The sequence below is a fragment of the Homo sapiens genome, chromosome 5 (genome assembly GCF_000001405.40).
Source record: "Homo sapiens chromosome 5, GRCh38.p14 Primary Assembly".
In the NCBI taxonomy this organism is placed as follows: domain Eukaryota; kingdom Metazoa; phylum Chordata; class Mammalia; order Primates; family Hominidae; genus Homo; species Homo sapiens.
In genome coordinates this window covers 177012507-177026964 of record NC_000005.10, presented here as the reverse complement: position 1 = coordinate 177026964, position 14458 = coordinate 177012507, and the positions used below count along the sequence as shown (strand labels likewise).

Here is a 14458-nt window from a genome sequence, read left to right as displayed (position 1 = left end):
TGAGCTAAGATTCATCTATCAAAACTGCTTGCTATTGCCACAAGTGGGTAAGGATTAACCTAATAATGCCCTACCTGACGCTATATCCTACATCCTACAGCTTAATGTACAGCCAATCACTAACCAATGTTATTTCTGTAAATCAATGAGAATTCTTGATAAACAACTTTGTATGAGTCCCACTCCCTGTCCACATTTTTTTGCCTTTAAAAATCAAGTAAACTCTTCAAATCATATTTTGTGTGTTAGCCTCTTCCTTGCAGGTCAACACTTCTATAAAATACTGTAAAAAGAAATATTACCAACTGAGTGTGGTGGCTCACACCTGTAATCCCAACACTTCGGGAGGCCAAGGCTGGTGGATCACCTGAGGTCAGGAGTTCAAGACCAGTCTGGCCAACATGGTGAAACTCTGTCTCTACTAAAAATACAAAAAAATTAGCTGGGTGTGGTAGCACCCTCCTGTAATCCCAGCTACTCAGGAGGCTGAGGCGGGAGAATCACTTAAATCTGGGACAGGGAGGCTGCAGTGAGCTGAGATCGTGCCACCACACTCTAGCCTGGGCGATAGAGTGGGATTCTGTCTCAAAAAAAAAAAAAAAAAAAAAAAAATTACCAATCCATCCTTCACAAACTCCTTCAGAAACAAGATGAGGAAGGGGCTGGGCATGGTAGCTCACGCGTGTAATGCCAGCACTTTGGGAGGCTGAAGGGGGCAGATCACTTGAGGTCAGGAGTTTGAGACCAGCCTGGCCAACGTGGTGAAACCCCATCTCTACTAAAAATACAAAAATTAGCCAGATGTGGTGGTGAACACCTGTAATCCCAGCTACTCGGGACGCTGAGGCAGGAGAATCGCTTGACCTCCTCCAGGAGAACCAGGGAGACGAAGGTTGCAGTGAGCTGAGATCATGCCACTGCACTCCAGCCTGGGTGACAGGGTGAGACTGCATCTCAAAAAAAAAAATAATAATAATAATAAGGAAGATCTACAAGAGAAAATTTCTCAAATCTTGGGTTAAGATAAAGAGTTCTTAGATATGACACTAAAGCACAATACATAGGATAAAAAATGATAAATTTAATCTCATCAAAACTTAAAACTTTTGTGCTTCAAAAGGCACTGTTTAGAAAATGAAAAAACAAGTCACAGTCAGGGGGAAATACCTGGAAATCATATCTATAATAAAAGACTTGTACCCAGAATACACAGATAACTCTTACAACTCAGTAGAAGACAAACAGCCCAATTACAAAATAGGCAAATGATGTGAATAGATATTTCACCAAAGATCTACAAATGGGTAGTCAGCCCCTGAAAAGTTGCTCAGTATTATCAGTCTTTAGGAAACCACAATGAGATATCACTACATGCCCACTAGAATGCCTATAATCAAAAAAGACAAGTGTTGTCAAGGTTATAGAAAAAGCGAAACCCTCATACACTGATGGCAGAAATATAAAAGGTGAAGCCATTTTGGAAAACAGTTTGGCAGTTCTCCAAAATGTCAGAGTTACGATATGACCCAGCAATTCCACTCTTAGGGATATACTCAAGAAATGAAATGTATGTTCACACAAAAACTTGGGCATGAATGTTCGCAGCAGCACTATTCACAAAAACTCCAAACTGGAAACAATCCAAATGTCTAGAACTAATGAATGGATTAATAGAATGTGTTATATTCATTCAATGGAATTCTATTTAGCAATAAAAAGGAATGAAGTACTAATACACACCATGACTTGGCTGAACTTCAAAAACATGCTGAGAGAAGCCAAACTCAAAAGACTACCCAAGACAGAAAACAGGTCACTGGTTGCCTAGGGCAGGAGGTGGGAGTGGGGATTTAATATAAATGAGCTCAAAGGAACTAATTGGGGTGACGGAAATGTTCTAAAAGTGGACTGTGGTAATGGCTATACAACTCTGTACACTGGCTAACAATCACTGGCGATATGCTTACAATGGGTGACTTGTATGGTATATAAATTGTAACTCACATGAAGGTGCTAAGAGTAGAAAAAGGGTGAGTAGAACTTAATGTTGTAGGTGTCTACCTAGATTTCACATAAATGTGGGAGAAGTGAGAACAGGGAAATGAAATGGGTCATAACAGTGCCACTATACACTCATATACACATAGCAGACAGTTCACTTTTCAGAGCACAGTGGTTTTCTGCTTCAAGATCCAGGGCAAAGGTCACTTTCTTCTTGTGCACCTCCAACTCTTAAAACATTCCTCAGCACTGCATCCTTTACATTACACTGGAACTGTTTTGGTGTCTGCTTCCTGGACTAGACTGCAAGCCTTTCCAGGGCAAGGGCAGTATCTTCCTCTGATACTCCAGCTCTGAAGCTCAACCAGTTCCGGGTCCAGAGCAGGCATCAGTGAGTGTTTGTCAAGTTAATGAAAGGAAAATTGGGGTAGGGGAGGAAACTACCAAACAAGTGTGAAAGTAGGAGAGCCGGGTGCGGTGGCTCATGCCTGTAATCCCAGCACTTTGGGAGGTCAAGGCGGGCAGATCACTTGAGGTCAGGAGTTCGAGAACAGCCTGGCCAACATGGTGAAACCCCATCTCTACTAAAAATACAAAAATCAGCTGAGCGTCATGGCAGCAGCCTGTAATCCCAGCTACTCCGGAGGCTGAGGCAGTATAGAATTGCTTGAACCCAGGAGGCGGAGGTTGCAGTGTGATTGTGCCACTGCACTCCAACCTGGGTGACAGAGTGAGACTCTCTCAAAAAAAAAAAAAAAAAAAAGGAGAGAGGGCCCCAGAAATAGTGTGTGTGTGTGTGTGTGTGTATACATAAAATACTTACAAGTGTATATAAAAATATATATACAGATTTATGTGTGTATATATTATATATATACATTTATGTGTGTGTATATTATATATACGCATACACACACACCATTTCTGGGGCCCTGTCTCCTTCTTTTTTATATATAATATACATTATATATATATATAAACTTAGGAGACAGGCTAGACTTGTTTTTAAATTGGAGAAGTATATACCAGGGTATAGGTCTGTGTACCTTCCTTAGATATGGTCAAAATTTCAATTTTATCCAATTTTATCCAGGGCAGTCAGTTCACAAATAGCATATTAAACTTTCGAAGACAAGTCTGCTCAGCAAGCAAACAAATCACTGGAGAAATCTGATTTCCCTCCAGATACCTGACAAGGTTAGCAGAGAAGCCCAGATAGAGTTCTTGTACATCTGGGTTAGCATCAAGCAGCTGGCTCTGTAAAGGACAGTGAAGGGAGTCACACAAGCAGGTCAGGACAGCTCTTTTCCATCCTTCTCTTTCTTTCATCCCATCTTACCCAGTCTCAGGTCAAGTGCAGAGCAAGCTGGGGCGCTTCGGCCCAGGAGTGACCCCTAACGTGGCTTTGCATACACTGTTCTCAGCAACTTTGGGTCAAGTGTAGGACACAAAGAAGCTGGAGCCAAAGCAAACCCAGACCAGTTTCTCAGGCTCCTTGTCCCCACCTTAGAATAAGGGACCCAGCAAGTAGAGGCCAGAGAGCTAAAAACGGGTAAGCCAGGGCTCAGTCATCAAGACCAGGAGGAACCCAGGGGGTAAGGAGAAGGCCTTCCAGAGCCCTCGGAAGTGTGGGGCTTGAGAGAAGGGAGGCGAGAGGCCCTAGGAGGAAATCTGGAGATTGGGACGATGGGGAGTCAAGGAGTGGTGAGGGGCACTCGGCTTGGCTTACCGGGATGGCAAAGACTGTAGGTCTCCGACAGGACGAGTATAGGGATGACAGTCCTCGAATGTGGGAAAAACTGCGCTGTAGTGAATGATGAAGGAGGAGGAGGAAAACCCAGGGCCTGAGCGTGAGCGGCCCTTCACCCTCAGCGCGCTGGGGGCCCGATTCTTGGGGTGCCCGCGCCCGGATGGGGAGCACAAGTCTGGGGGTCCCGGGGCGCAGCACGCAAGGAGGCGGGCCAGGGGGTGTGACCGTCGGCGCTTCCGCAGTTCCCCGCGAGCCGCGCAGCGGGCGAGGGGCTTTCTGCCTCCAAAGCCCCCGACTCACCTTCCTCTCTACCCACCGGCTGGGCACCGGACACGGCTTCCCACAGGCGGCGCGCCCTCTCGCGGTCAAAGCGCACCCCGTCCGGCTCCTGGCCCTCCAGCAACTCCGAGCTGCTGTAAGGCCCGGCCGCTCCGCCGTCCGCGGCCTGCACCGTGGCCGGCGCGGGATACTCCATCTTCCCCGCAAACCCTCACCGGTAGAGAGCCTCTCAGGCGCCTAGGTATCGCGAGATTTGGTGGGTGGTACTTGGCCCAGCCAACAAATCTCGCGAGGTTTGGGCGCTGCACCCGCGCTGCCGTGCGGGACCCCGCGCTTATTTTGCTTTGCTACCTCTGGTACCTCAGAGCGTGTGCCGTGGATTCGGAAACCTGTCGCTGATTCCGCAGCAGTGACCCCCCCCTCCCGGAGAGGCTCGTGTGGTTTTGGCTCATGGCTCTCACCTTGCTCACGGTCAGCCCTTGATACTTTTCATTTCGTTCTCAAGGTCCCGTTATGTGGGAGTGTTTTCGCCATTTCATTCACAGGGAAACTGAGGCCCAGAACCTAAAAATGGTTAACTCAAGAGCTCGCTACTAGTAAGTAGTAGTACAGCTAAGGTTCCATATTACTGCTAATAATACATACTATTTGTTGAGTTCCAAGTGCCAGCTCCCAGCTCTGATCTTCCCCGAGACTCCGGACCTGTATACATCCAGTTGCCTCTTCCACAGTTCACTCGAATGGCTAATAGGCTTCTCCAATGTAGCTGTCAGACCCCAAATTTTATCTTCCAACCCCAGAGCTGCTCCTTCCCGTGTCTTTGGGAGCCACCATCTCTTGCCTAGGTTATTGTAGTAGCAACCTCACTGGCATTCCCAGCACAGCAGTTCCAGGAATCCTCTTATGACAAGTCAGATCATGACGCTTAGGTTCTCAAATCCTCCAACAGCTTCCCATCTCACTCTTAGTAAAAGCCAAAGTCCGGCCAGGCGCGGTGGCTCACGCCTGTAATCCCAGCACTTTGGGAGGCTAAGGGGGGGCGGATCACCTGAGGTCCGGAGTTCGAGACCAGCCTGACCAACATGGAGAAACCCCGTCTCTACTAAAAATACAAAATTAGACGGGTGTGGTGGCACATGCCTGTAATCCCATCTACTCGGAGGCTGAGCCAGGAGAATGGCTTGAACCCGGGAGGCAGAGGTTGCTGTGAGCCGAGCTGGCGCCATTGCACCCCAGCCTGGGCAACAAGAGCGAAACTCCGACTAAAAAAAAAAAAAGCCAAAGTCCTTACTTCGACCAACAAGGCCCTGTACAATCTGACTTCCCTTAACCTCCCTGATCCTGATGTGTTACTCAGTCCCCAACTCCTTAATTCCTGTCCCAGTTATCCAGGCCTCCTGGGGTGAATTTCTCTCATATATCTTCATGGCTCAGTCTCCCACTTCCTTCTCTGGCTACTCTATCTAAAATACCTTGTCTGGCTATCCCATCTAAAATGTTACTTTTCCACACACACTTCATGTCCTTCTTTCCTGCTTTATTTCTTTTATATTTTACCTTTTATCTTGCTTATTGTCTGTCTCCCGACTAGAAGGCAAGCCCCAGGAAGGCAGGGATTTTTGTCTCTTTTCTTTTCTTTCTTTTTTTAAATTGTTTTTGAGGCAGAGTTTTGCTCTGTCGCCAGGTTGGAGTGCAGTGACGCGATCTCGGCTCACTGCAGCTTCCGTCTCCCGGGTTCAAGCAATTCTCCAGCCTCAGCCTCCTGAGTAGCTGGGATTACAGGCACATGCCACGGCACCCAGCTAATTTTTATATTTTTGGTAGAGACGGGGTTTCACTATGTTAGCTAGGCTGATCTCAAACTCCTGATCTCATAATCTGCCTGCCTCGGGCTCCCAAAATGCTGAGATTACAGGCACATGCCACCTTGCGTAGCCTTTTGTCTCTTGTCATTGCACCTGAATCTCCAGCACTTTGAAATAGAACCTGGACCCTCCTAGGTATATACAAAACATTTGTTTAATGAATGAAGCTTTTAATATTACTAGCTTATTTCAACCTCATTTTTTCAAATACTTATGGAGAATTTACTATGAGCTAGATGATATTTTGAGCATGGAAATATAGTGGTGAACAAGACAGGGAAGCTGTAGTAAAGTATTTTTTATTGTAGTGGAGGAGAGTACAATAAGAAAGTTAACAGTAGGCCTGGCGCAGTGGCTCATGCCTGTAATCCAGCACTTTGGGAGGCCGAGGCAGGTGGATCACGAGGTCAGAAGATCAAGACCATCCTGGCTAACATGGTGAAACTCCGTTTCTACTAAAAATACAAAAAAATTAGCCGGGCGTGGTGGCGGGCGCCTGTAGTCCCAGCTACTCGGGAGGCTGAGGCAGGAGAATGGTGTGAACCCAGCAGGCGGAGCTTGCAGTGAGCCGAGATCGTGCCACTGCACTCCATCCTGGGCAACAGAGCGAGACTCCATCTCAAAAACAAAAAAAGTTAACAATAATAAGTGCTAAGGAGAAGATAAAACAGGATTGCATCTCAGGTGAATGATGTGTTAGGAACATTAATCAGGGTGGCATCAGGAGAAGCCTCTGGGAAAATGACATTTGAGCTAAGACCTGATTAATGAGAAGGCGTAGCCATGCAAAGAGCTGGGCAAGAGTGTTCTAGCAGAGAGAACAGCAGGTACAAAGGCCCTGAGGCAGGAGAGAGCATGATGTGTTGGAGGAACAGGAAAAACGACAGCATGGCTGGAGCCCAGTGAACAAGGAGGAAAGTAATATCAGAGGAGGCCAAAGAGAGACAGATATGAATTATTCTTGCTTGAGATCATATAGCTCATTGGTGTAATTTAGTCATTTATACTACAAGTATTTCCTTATTTATACTACAAATATTGAGCACCAGCACTATGTCAGGCCTCAGGCCCTAGAGCTTCCAAGCTTCCAATACAGTAGGTGACTGATGTTTGGCCAGTGTTTTACAATTTTTTTTTTTTTATAGACGGAGTCTCTGTTGCCCAGGCTGGAGTGCAGTGGCACCATCTCAGTTCACTGCAACCTCCACCTCCTGGGTTCAAGCAATTCTCCTGCCTCAGCCTCCCGAGTAGCTGGGATTACAGACATCCATCACTATACCCAGCTATGTTTTCTATTTTTAGTAGAGACGGGGTTTCATCTTGTTGGCCAGGCTGGTCTTGAACTCCTGGCCTCAGGTGATCTGCCCGCCTTGGCCTCCTAAAGTGCTGGGATTACAGGCATGAGCTACCACACCCAGCCTACAATTTTTTTTTTTTTTTTTCCGAGACAGGGTCTCACTAGTGCAGTGGTATGATCATAGCTCACTGTAACCTTGAACTCCCACACTCAAGTGATCCTCCAGCCTCAGCCTCCTGAGTAGCAAGGACTACAAGTGGACACCAACATGCCCAGCTAATTAAAAAAAATTTTTTTTTTGTAGAGACAGGGTTTCCCTATATTGCCCAGGCTGGTCTCAAACTCCTGAGCTCAAGCGATCCTCCTGCCTCAGCCTCCCAAAGTGCTGGGATTCCTGGTGTGAACCACACACCCAGCCCAGGGCAGTGCTTTACAGTTTGCAAAGCACCTACATTATAGCATTTAATCCTCAGGGTGGTTTCTGTGAGGGATTTCTTCATAAGTGATGATAAAGAAACAGACTAGGAAAGGTAAAGGTTTTGTGAAGATCACACAGCTAGTTAGGTACGAGCCCATGCTTGAACACTGGTCCTTAGATTGCAAATCTATGTCCTTTTGCCAAAACCAGATGACCAGCCTAAAAGTCAGTGACTGCACATTATTTATTCTCTTTTTATTTATTTATTTACTTTTAGAGACGGGGTCTCACTATGTTAGCCAGGATGGTCACAAACTACTTATTTATCTTAAGAGTTCTAGTTACTTACACTTGCATATAGCATAAGTTATTCAGGGATAATCCAAGGGATACAGGGGATTTTTGTCGAAGTCGCAGAACCCACAAGGATATTTTTAATACTATGTAACAAATACTGGGAGTGGAGTATATAAGTTGCTTTGCATATTATTGGAAAACAACCTCCAATCCAATTACATGCTCAAAATAATGTCCATTTATTCTCCAATGAGTGCTGTCAGGGTTCATCCCCTGTGCCATGGAGGCAGAGTCCTGAGCTACCCTGCTGAGGGTCTGAACAGCCTTCATTGTCACCAGTTTTCTATTTTGTCTTTGTGTAAGTGCTTCCAGGAATGGCCCAGGCCTGGACTCCTTGCTGGGACCTGGCAGTGCAGGTGATGCCTTATATTTGTTGGGCTGGCTTTTTATTTCCTCCTTGTGGAAAATGAGAACCATTTTCCAACACATCCTACTGTGTATTGTTGCCATGGGAGATGAACAATCCCAGGGAAATGACTTTGCTAAGGGACGGGAACTGGCTACTGTTCAGCATACATTTCAGTTGCTTAAATACTGACTCTGTATGTGCATGTGTGTGCATGTGCAAACGAAACTATAGTGCTTAAGATATAGTTCTTGCTCTCAAAGAGATTCAACTCTAGTTTTTCTTTCTTTTCTTTTTTTTTTGAGACAGAGTCTCACTCTGTCACCCAGGCTGGAGTGCAGTGGTGCGATCTCGGCTCACTGCAACCTCCGCCTCCCAGGTTCAAACAATTCTCCGCCTCAGCCTCCTAAGTAGCTAGGACTACAGGTGTGCACCACCACACCAAGCTAATTTTTGTATTTTTATTAGAGACAGGATTTTACCATGTTGGCCAGGCTGATCTTGAACTCCTGATCTCATGTGGTCTGACCACCTTGGCCTCCCAAAGTGCTGGGATTACCAGTGTGAGCCACCACGCCCAGCCTTAAACTCTAGTTTTTCTAACTCTAGTATGTCTAATCTAGTGACAGACATAAAAGTATCTACTGAGTATGTAATATCAGAGAGTATGTTTTAACTGCTATAACAGAGATAATGACTAGGCTGGGCACAGTGGCTCATACCTGTAATCCCAGCACTTTGGAAGGCTGAGGCGGGAGGATTGCTTGACCCCAGGAGTTCAAGACCATCATGGGCAACATGGCAAGACCCTATCTCTACAAAATTAAAAAAATTAGCTGGGTGTGGTGGTGTGTGCCTTTGGTCCCAGCTACTCAGGAGGCTGAGGTGAGAGGATCACTTGAGCCTGCAGTGAGCTGTTGTACCACTGCACTACCACCTGGGTGACACAGCAAGACCCTGTCTCAAAAAAAAAAAAAAAAGGGCCAGCGTGGTGGCTCAGGCCTGTAATCATAGCACTTTGGGAGGCCAAGTGGGCGGATCACCTGCGGACAGGAGTTCAAATGGTGAAACCTCGTCTCTACTAAAAAATACAAAAATTAGCTAGGCATGGTGGCAGAAGCCTGTAATCCCAGCTACTCAGGAGGCAGAGGCAGGAGAATTGCTTGAACCCAGGAGACGGAGGTTGCAGTGAACCGAGATTGCGCCACTGTACTCCAGCCTGGGCAAGAAGAGCAAGACTCCATCTCAAAAAAATAAAAAAGAGGGAGATGACAGCCAAGGCTAGTGGGCTAGTGTGGATGGGGTGGGACAATGAATCTACCATGTGGGGATCAGAATGGTATCTGAGTTACCTCCTAATAGTCTTTTTATTTCTCATCTCTAAGAACACATCTCAAACTATTAGAGGTGGCCACAGATTAGCTTTTACTAACAGGATGTAAAGAAGTGTTGTTTGAATCAGAATCTGAGATTGGTCCAGAACAGAAGGGGTGCTCTTGAGGAGAACTGTGGAACTACCAAGCCCAGCAGGGGCCCAGGGGCACATCTTTGCTGCAATCCTAGTCCACTTCTCAGGCTTCTTTATTTCATTTCATTTTTCATTTCATTTCATATTTCATTTCATTATTTTGACAGAGGTTCACACTTGTCACCCAGGCTGGAGTGCAATGGCGCAATCTCAGCTCACTGCAACCTCTGCCTCCTGGGTTCAAGTGATTCTCCTGCCTCAGCCTCCTGAGTAGCTGGGACTAGAGGCACCCGCCACCATGCCTGGCTATTTTTTGTAATTTTAGTAGAGACGGGGTTTTACCATGTTGGCCAGGGTGGTCTTGAACTCCTGACCTCAGGTGATTCACCTGCCTCGGCCTCCCAAAGTTCTGGGATTACAGGCATGAGCCGCCGCGCCCGGCCTACTGGATAATTTTCTTTTTTGAGACGGAGTCTCACTCTGTTGCCAGGCTGGAGTGCAGTGGCATGAGTGCAGTGGTAAGATCTCGGCTCACTGCAACCTCGGCTGACTGCAACCTCTGCCTCCCAGGTTCAAGCGATTCTCCTGCCTCAGCCTTCTGAGTAGCTGGGACTAGAGGTGCGTGCCACCACACCCAGCTAATTTTTTTGTATTTTTAGTAGAGGGGCGTTTCACCATGTTGGCCAGGATGGTCTCGATCTTTTGACCTCGTGATCCGCCCGCCTCGGCCTCCCAAAGTTCTGGAATTACAGGCATGAGCCACCGTGCCCAGCCTGGATAATTTTATAGTATTTTGTTTGTTTGGTTTTGTTTTGTTTTTGAGATGGAGTCTTGCTCTGTCATCCAGGTTGGAGGGCAATTACATGATCTCGGCTCACTGCAACCTCTGCCTCCCAGGTTCAAGCGATTCTCCTGCCTCAACCTCCTGAGTAGCTGGGATTACAGGCACCAGCCACCATGCCTGGCTAATTTTGTATTTTTAGTAGAGACGGGGTTTCACCATGTTGGTCAGGCTGGTCTTAAACTCCTGTCCTCAGGTGATCCCCCCACCTTGGCCTCCCAAAGTGGTGGGATTATGGGCATGAGCCACCGCGTCCTGCCTCTTTTTTTCTTTTTTGAGATGGAGTCTTCTTCTGTTGCCCAGACTGGAATGTGGTAGCGTGGTCTCGGCTCACTGCACCCTCAGCCTCCCGGGTTCAAGTGATTCTGTCTCAGCTGCCTGAGTAGCTGGGATTACAGATGTGCGCCACCACGTCTGGCTAATTTTTTAATTTTAGGTAGAGACAGGGTTTCACCATGTTGGCCAAACTGGTCTCGAACTCTTGACCTCAAGTGATCTGCCTGTCTCAGCCTCCCAAAGTGCTGGGATTACAAGTGTGAGCCACCATGCCTGGCCTAATTTTATGGTATCTTTAGGGACGCAGGGAAGCAGTGTCTTCAGGGGATGCCAGGTTTTAATTTAGAGACTTTCTAAGGACAGATTGAGGGCAGAGGGGAGTCTGTTGATCACAGACTGGGATTTACAGAGGATTTTGGGTTAGAGTCAAGTAATGCTTTCCAGCCTTTTCTCCATTATAGTCCACATAGAAAATGAGCATATCTGTATAGCATGTTAGAGTAAACAGATAAGGTTGCTCCTCCTCATCACTGCAGTGACAGTTTGGGAATTCCAGCCACTCTACATGCCCCGCTGGGCCACCCTTGGAGCTGGAGGGATGTATGTCCAGAGCCATATCAGGAAGAGAGTCCAGCTGCAACAGATAGCCGTCATATCTTGAACCCTGACAATGTCTGAGGCAAGCAGGCTGGGGATTAACCACAAATCTCTGAGAATTGAGCAGTTAACGCTGTGTGGTACTTAGCTTGACATGTATTGCTCCATTCTGCATGCATGAGTTATGTGATCTTAGGTAAATTCCTTAACATTTGTGAGGCTGCTTCTCCATCTGTAAAATGAGGAGATGATACCCACCTCAAATGGTTGTTGTGAAGATTAACTAATATAATCTCCGTAAACTACTTAGCACATTGCTTGGCACATAGTAAATGGTAGCTATGTAGTTTATTCCAAAAGCTATATTTTTCTGATAATTTAACATACTGATGTATTTTTAGTAGAGATGAGGTTTCACCATGTTTGTCAGGCCGGTCTCAAACTCCTGACCTCAGGTGATCTGTTCTCCTTGGCCTCCCAAAGTGCTGGGATTACAGGCATGAGCCACCGTGCCTGGTCTATACTCCTTTCTTACCTGCAGTACTTCAATGGCTTCTTGTTGCTTACCGGATAAAGTTAAAATGTCACGTGGTATAAGAGACCCAGTATATTCTACTTCCTTTTCCACCCACTTCCAATACTCTCTCAAGTACCAAGCCCTGCTGGATGAACTTTAGCACTGTGGTAGGTTCTCCAACTGGGGAATCCTTTCACACCCCTTTGCCTTTATTCATTCTATTCCCATTGCCTTTATTTATTTATTTATTTATTGAGATGGAGTTAACGCTCTTTCACCCAGGCTGGAGTGAAGTACTGTGATTTCACCTCACTGCAACCTCTGCCCTCCCAGGTTCAAGCGATTCTCCTGCCTCAGCCTTCCAATATTACCTTTAATGTCCTTCTACCATCTCCTGTTGTCCATTTGACAAACTCATTCAACTTCCACCCCAAGTTTCAACCACAGCATTACATATTGTGCAGAAAAGAATTAACATAGTAGGTTTGAGGCTATAGTAGACCTTTGAAAGGTCTGCTCTCAAGTTTGGCTTTTGGCTGGCATCTGGGAACTTGGATTTCAGAAGTGTTTCCAAATTCCATATAAAAGTGGCTCACTGCAGCTGGGCACAGTGGCTCATGCCTATAATCCTAGCACTTTGGGAGGCCGAGGTAGGTGGATTGCCTGAGATCAGGAGTTCGAGACCAGCCAGGCCAACATAGTGAAACCCTGTCTCTACTAAAAATACAAAAAATCAGCCGGGCATGGTGTTGCACGCCTGTAATCCCAGCTACTTGGGAGGCTGAGGCAGGAGAATCGCTTGAACCGGGGAGGTGGAGGTTGCAGTGAGCTGAGATTGCACTCTAACTTGGGCAACAAGAGCGAAACTCTGTCTCAAAAAAAAAAAAAAAAAAAAGAAAAGAAAAAAAGTGGCTCACTGAGTCTAAACTGTTTGTGCAAACAATATAGTTTATGCTGAACATCTACTTTCCTTCTGGGAGTGTGAAACTTTGGTTTGCACTAGGCAGAGTGGTAAGCTAGGCAGCCTGTGTAACTGACCCCTGATAAAACCCTGGATTCCTAGGCTCAGGCAAGTTTCCCTGGTAGATACCACTTCACAAATGTTGTCACAATTAGATGCTGGAGGAATTAAGTGACTCCACTGGGAAGGTACTCTTGAAACTTGTGCCCAGTTTCCTTTGGACTTCATCCCAGGTGCTGATTTTGCTTTGTATCCTTTGGCTGTAATAAATCATAGTGTAAGTGCTGTAGTTTGAGAAGCATTGGTTGCTTTTTTCCTTGTGGTTTTTAGCTTGTATCTCTATTGGCTGTGTTTCCTTTAACTGGAAGTTATATCTAAACACTTGGTGTATTTAAGTCAAATATTTTGGCTAGAATACGTCTTTGGAGATGTTGCATGATTCATGTTGTGTAGCATCTGAAGAACATAATAACATCATATCTGATTAATTCGCCAAGTGAAGCTAAATTGACCACCGGATTAGGGTAATGGTAGTTTAAACCTTCCATTATGTAAATAAGTTTCCTCTCTTATGATCAGAAAGTATCTTTGTGTGTGTGTGTGTGTGTGTGTGTGTGTGTGTGTGTGTGTTTGGATGCAGTCTTGCTCTGTTGTCCAGGCTAGAGTGCTGTGGCATGATCTCAGCTCACTGCAACCTCCGCCTCCTGAGTTCAAGCGATTCTCCTGCCTCAGCCTTCCAAGTAGCTGGGATTACAGATGTGCACCACCAAGCCCGGCTAATTTATGTATTTTTAGTAGAGCCATGTGGGCCAGGCTGGTCTCGAACTCCTGACCTCAGCTGATCCACCCAGCCTCCCAAAGTGCTAAGATTATAGGCATGAACCACTGTGCCTGGCCCTTTTTTTTTTTTTGATACAAGATCTCCGTCTGTCACCCAGGCTAGAGTGCAATAGTAAGATCATAGCTCATTGCAGCCTTAAACTCCATGGCTCAAGCAATCCTCCTGCCTGAGCCTCCAAAGTAGCTAGGACTATAGGCACATACTACCAAGCCTGGCTAGTTTTATTATTCATTTTTTGTAGAGATGGGGGTCTCACAATGTTGCCCAGGCTGGTCTGGAACTCCTGGCCATAAGTAATCCTCCTGCCTTACTGATTTTTAAGGTAAGAGCTTGTTTAAACATCTACTTTGAATGGGCACAAATGAGTTTTTACTTTTTTGAATATCATTATGGAATAATTTATTTTTTTCATTGATTCAGTGTGGTTTCTTTTTGTGTGGTTTTTGGGTTCTTTTTTTTAGACAGGGTCTAGCTCTGTCACCCAGGCTGGAGTGCAGTGGCGCGATCTCAGCTCATTGCAACCTCCACCTCCTGGGTTCAAGTGATTCTCTTGCCTCAGCCTCCCGAGTAGTTGGGATTACAGGTGCCTGCCACCGCGCCTGGCTAGTTTTCGTATTTTTAGTAGAGACAACATTTCTCCATGT

The 14458-nt window shown here is 46.1% G+C and overlaps 2 protein-coding genes across 28 annotated transcripts in view, besides 5 other annotated features; one reads left to right on the top strand and one right to left on the bottom strand.

Annotated features, from left to right (window-relative positions):
• The window catches only part of ZNF346 (zinc finger protein 346), a 58494-nt gene extending 54225 nt beyond the window's left edge, over positions 1–4269 (bottom strand). For 16 of the 26 annotated variants that reach the window (NR_131773.2, NR_131774.2, NM_001363713.2 and 13 more), the window contains exon 1: positions 4052–4269. Coding sequence is in view for 24 of the 26 variants with exons in the window: in NM_001363713.2 (NP_001350642.1) it covers positions 4052–4226 (175 nt within the window). In the remaining 2 variants the exon portion in view is untranslated. Of the gene's footprint in view, positions 1–3190; positions 3259–3730; positions 3806–4051 lie in introns of all 26 variants that reach the window. The other 10 variants (XM_011534494.2, NM_001308213.2, XM_047417051.1 and 7 more) reach the window with 2 other exon arrangements.
• Positions 3491–4027: an enhancer, noted in NCBI's record as "H3K27ac hESC enhancer chr5:176449939-176450475 (GRCh37/hg19 assembly coordinates)". NCBI's record gives its function as "activates a minimal SCP1, AML or CMV promoter by ChIP-STARR-seq in naive H9 embryonic stem cells {active_cell/tissue: H9 hESC(naive)}" and the evidence as "EXISTENCE:reporter gene assay evidence [ECO:0000049][PMID:30033119]".
• Positions 3491–4054: a biological region, named in NCBI's record as "H3K27ac hESC enhancer GRCh37_chr5:176449939-176450475".
• Positions 3905–4054: a silencer, noted in NCBI's record as "silent region_16669". NCBI's record gives its function as "represses an Ori minimal core promoter by ATAC-STARR-seq in GM12878 lymphoblastoid cells {active_cell/tissue: GM12878}" and the evidence as "EXISTENCE:reporter gene assay evidence [ECO:0000049][PMID:35858748]".
• Positions 4028–4565: an enhancer, noted in NCBI's record as "H3K27ac hESC enhancer chr5:176449401-176449938 (GRCh37/hg19 assembly coordinates)". NCBI's record gives its function as "activates a minimal SCP1, AML or CMV promoter by ChIP-STARR-seq in naive H9 embryonic stem cells {active_cell/tissue: H9 hESC(naive)}" and the evidence as "EXISTENCE:reporter gene assay evidence [ECO:0000049][PMID:30033119]".
• Positions 4363–14458, top strand: part of UIMC1 (ubiquitin interaction motif containing 1) — a 117598-nt gene continuing 107502 nt past the window's right edge. For both annotated transcript variants that reach the window (XM_017009577.2, XM_006714871.3), the window contains exon 1: positions 4363–4501. The gene's annotated coding sequence lies outside the window, so the exon portion shown is untranslated. The remainder of the gene's footprint in view (positions 4502–14458) is intronic.
• Positions 4455–4504: an enhancer, noted in NCBI's record as "active region_23692". NCBI's record gives its function as "activates an Ori minimal core promoter by ATAC-STARR-seq in GM12878 lymphoblastoid cells {active_cell/tissue: GM12878}" and the evidence as "EXISTENCE:reporter gene assay evidence [ECO:0000049][PMID:35858748]".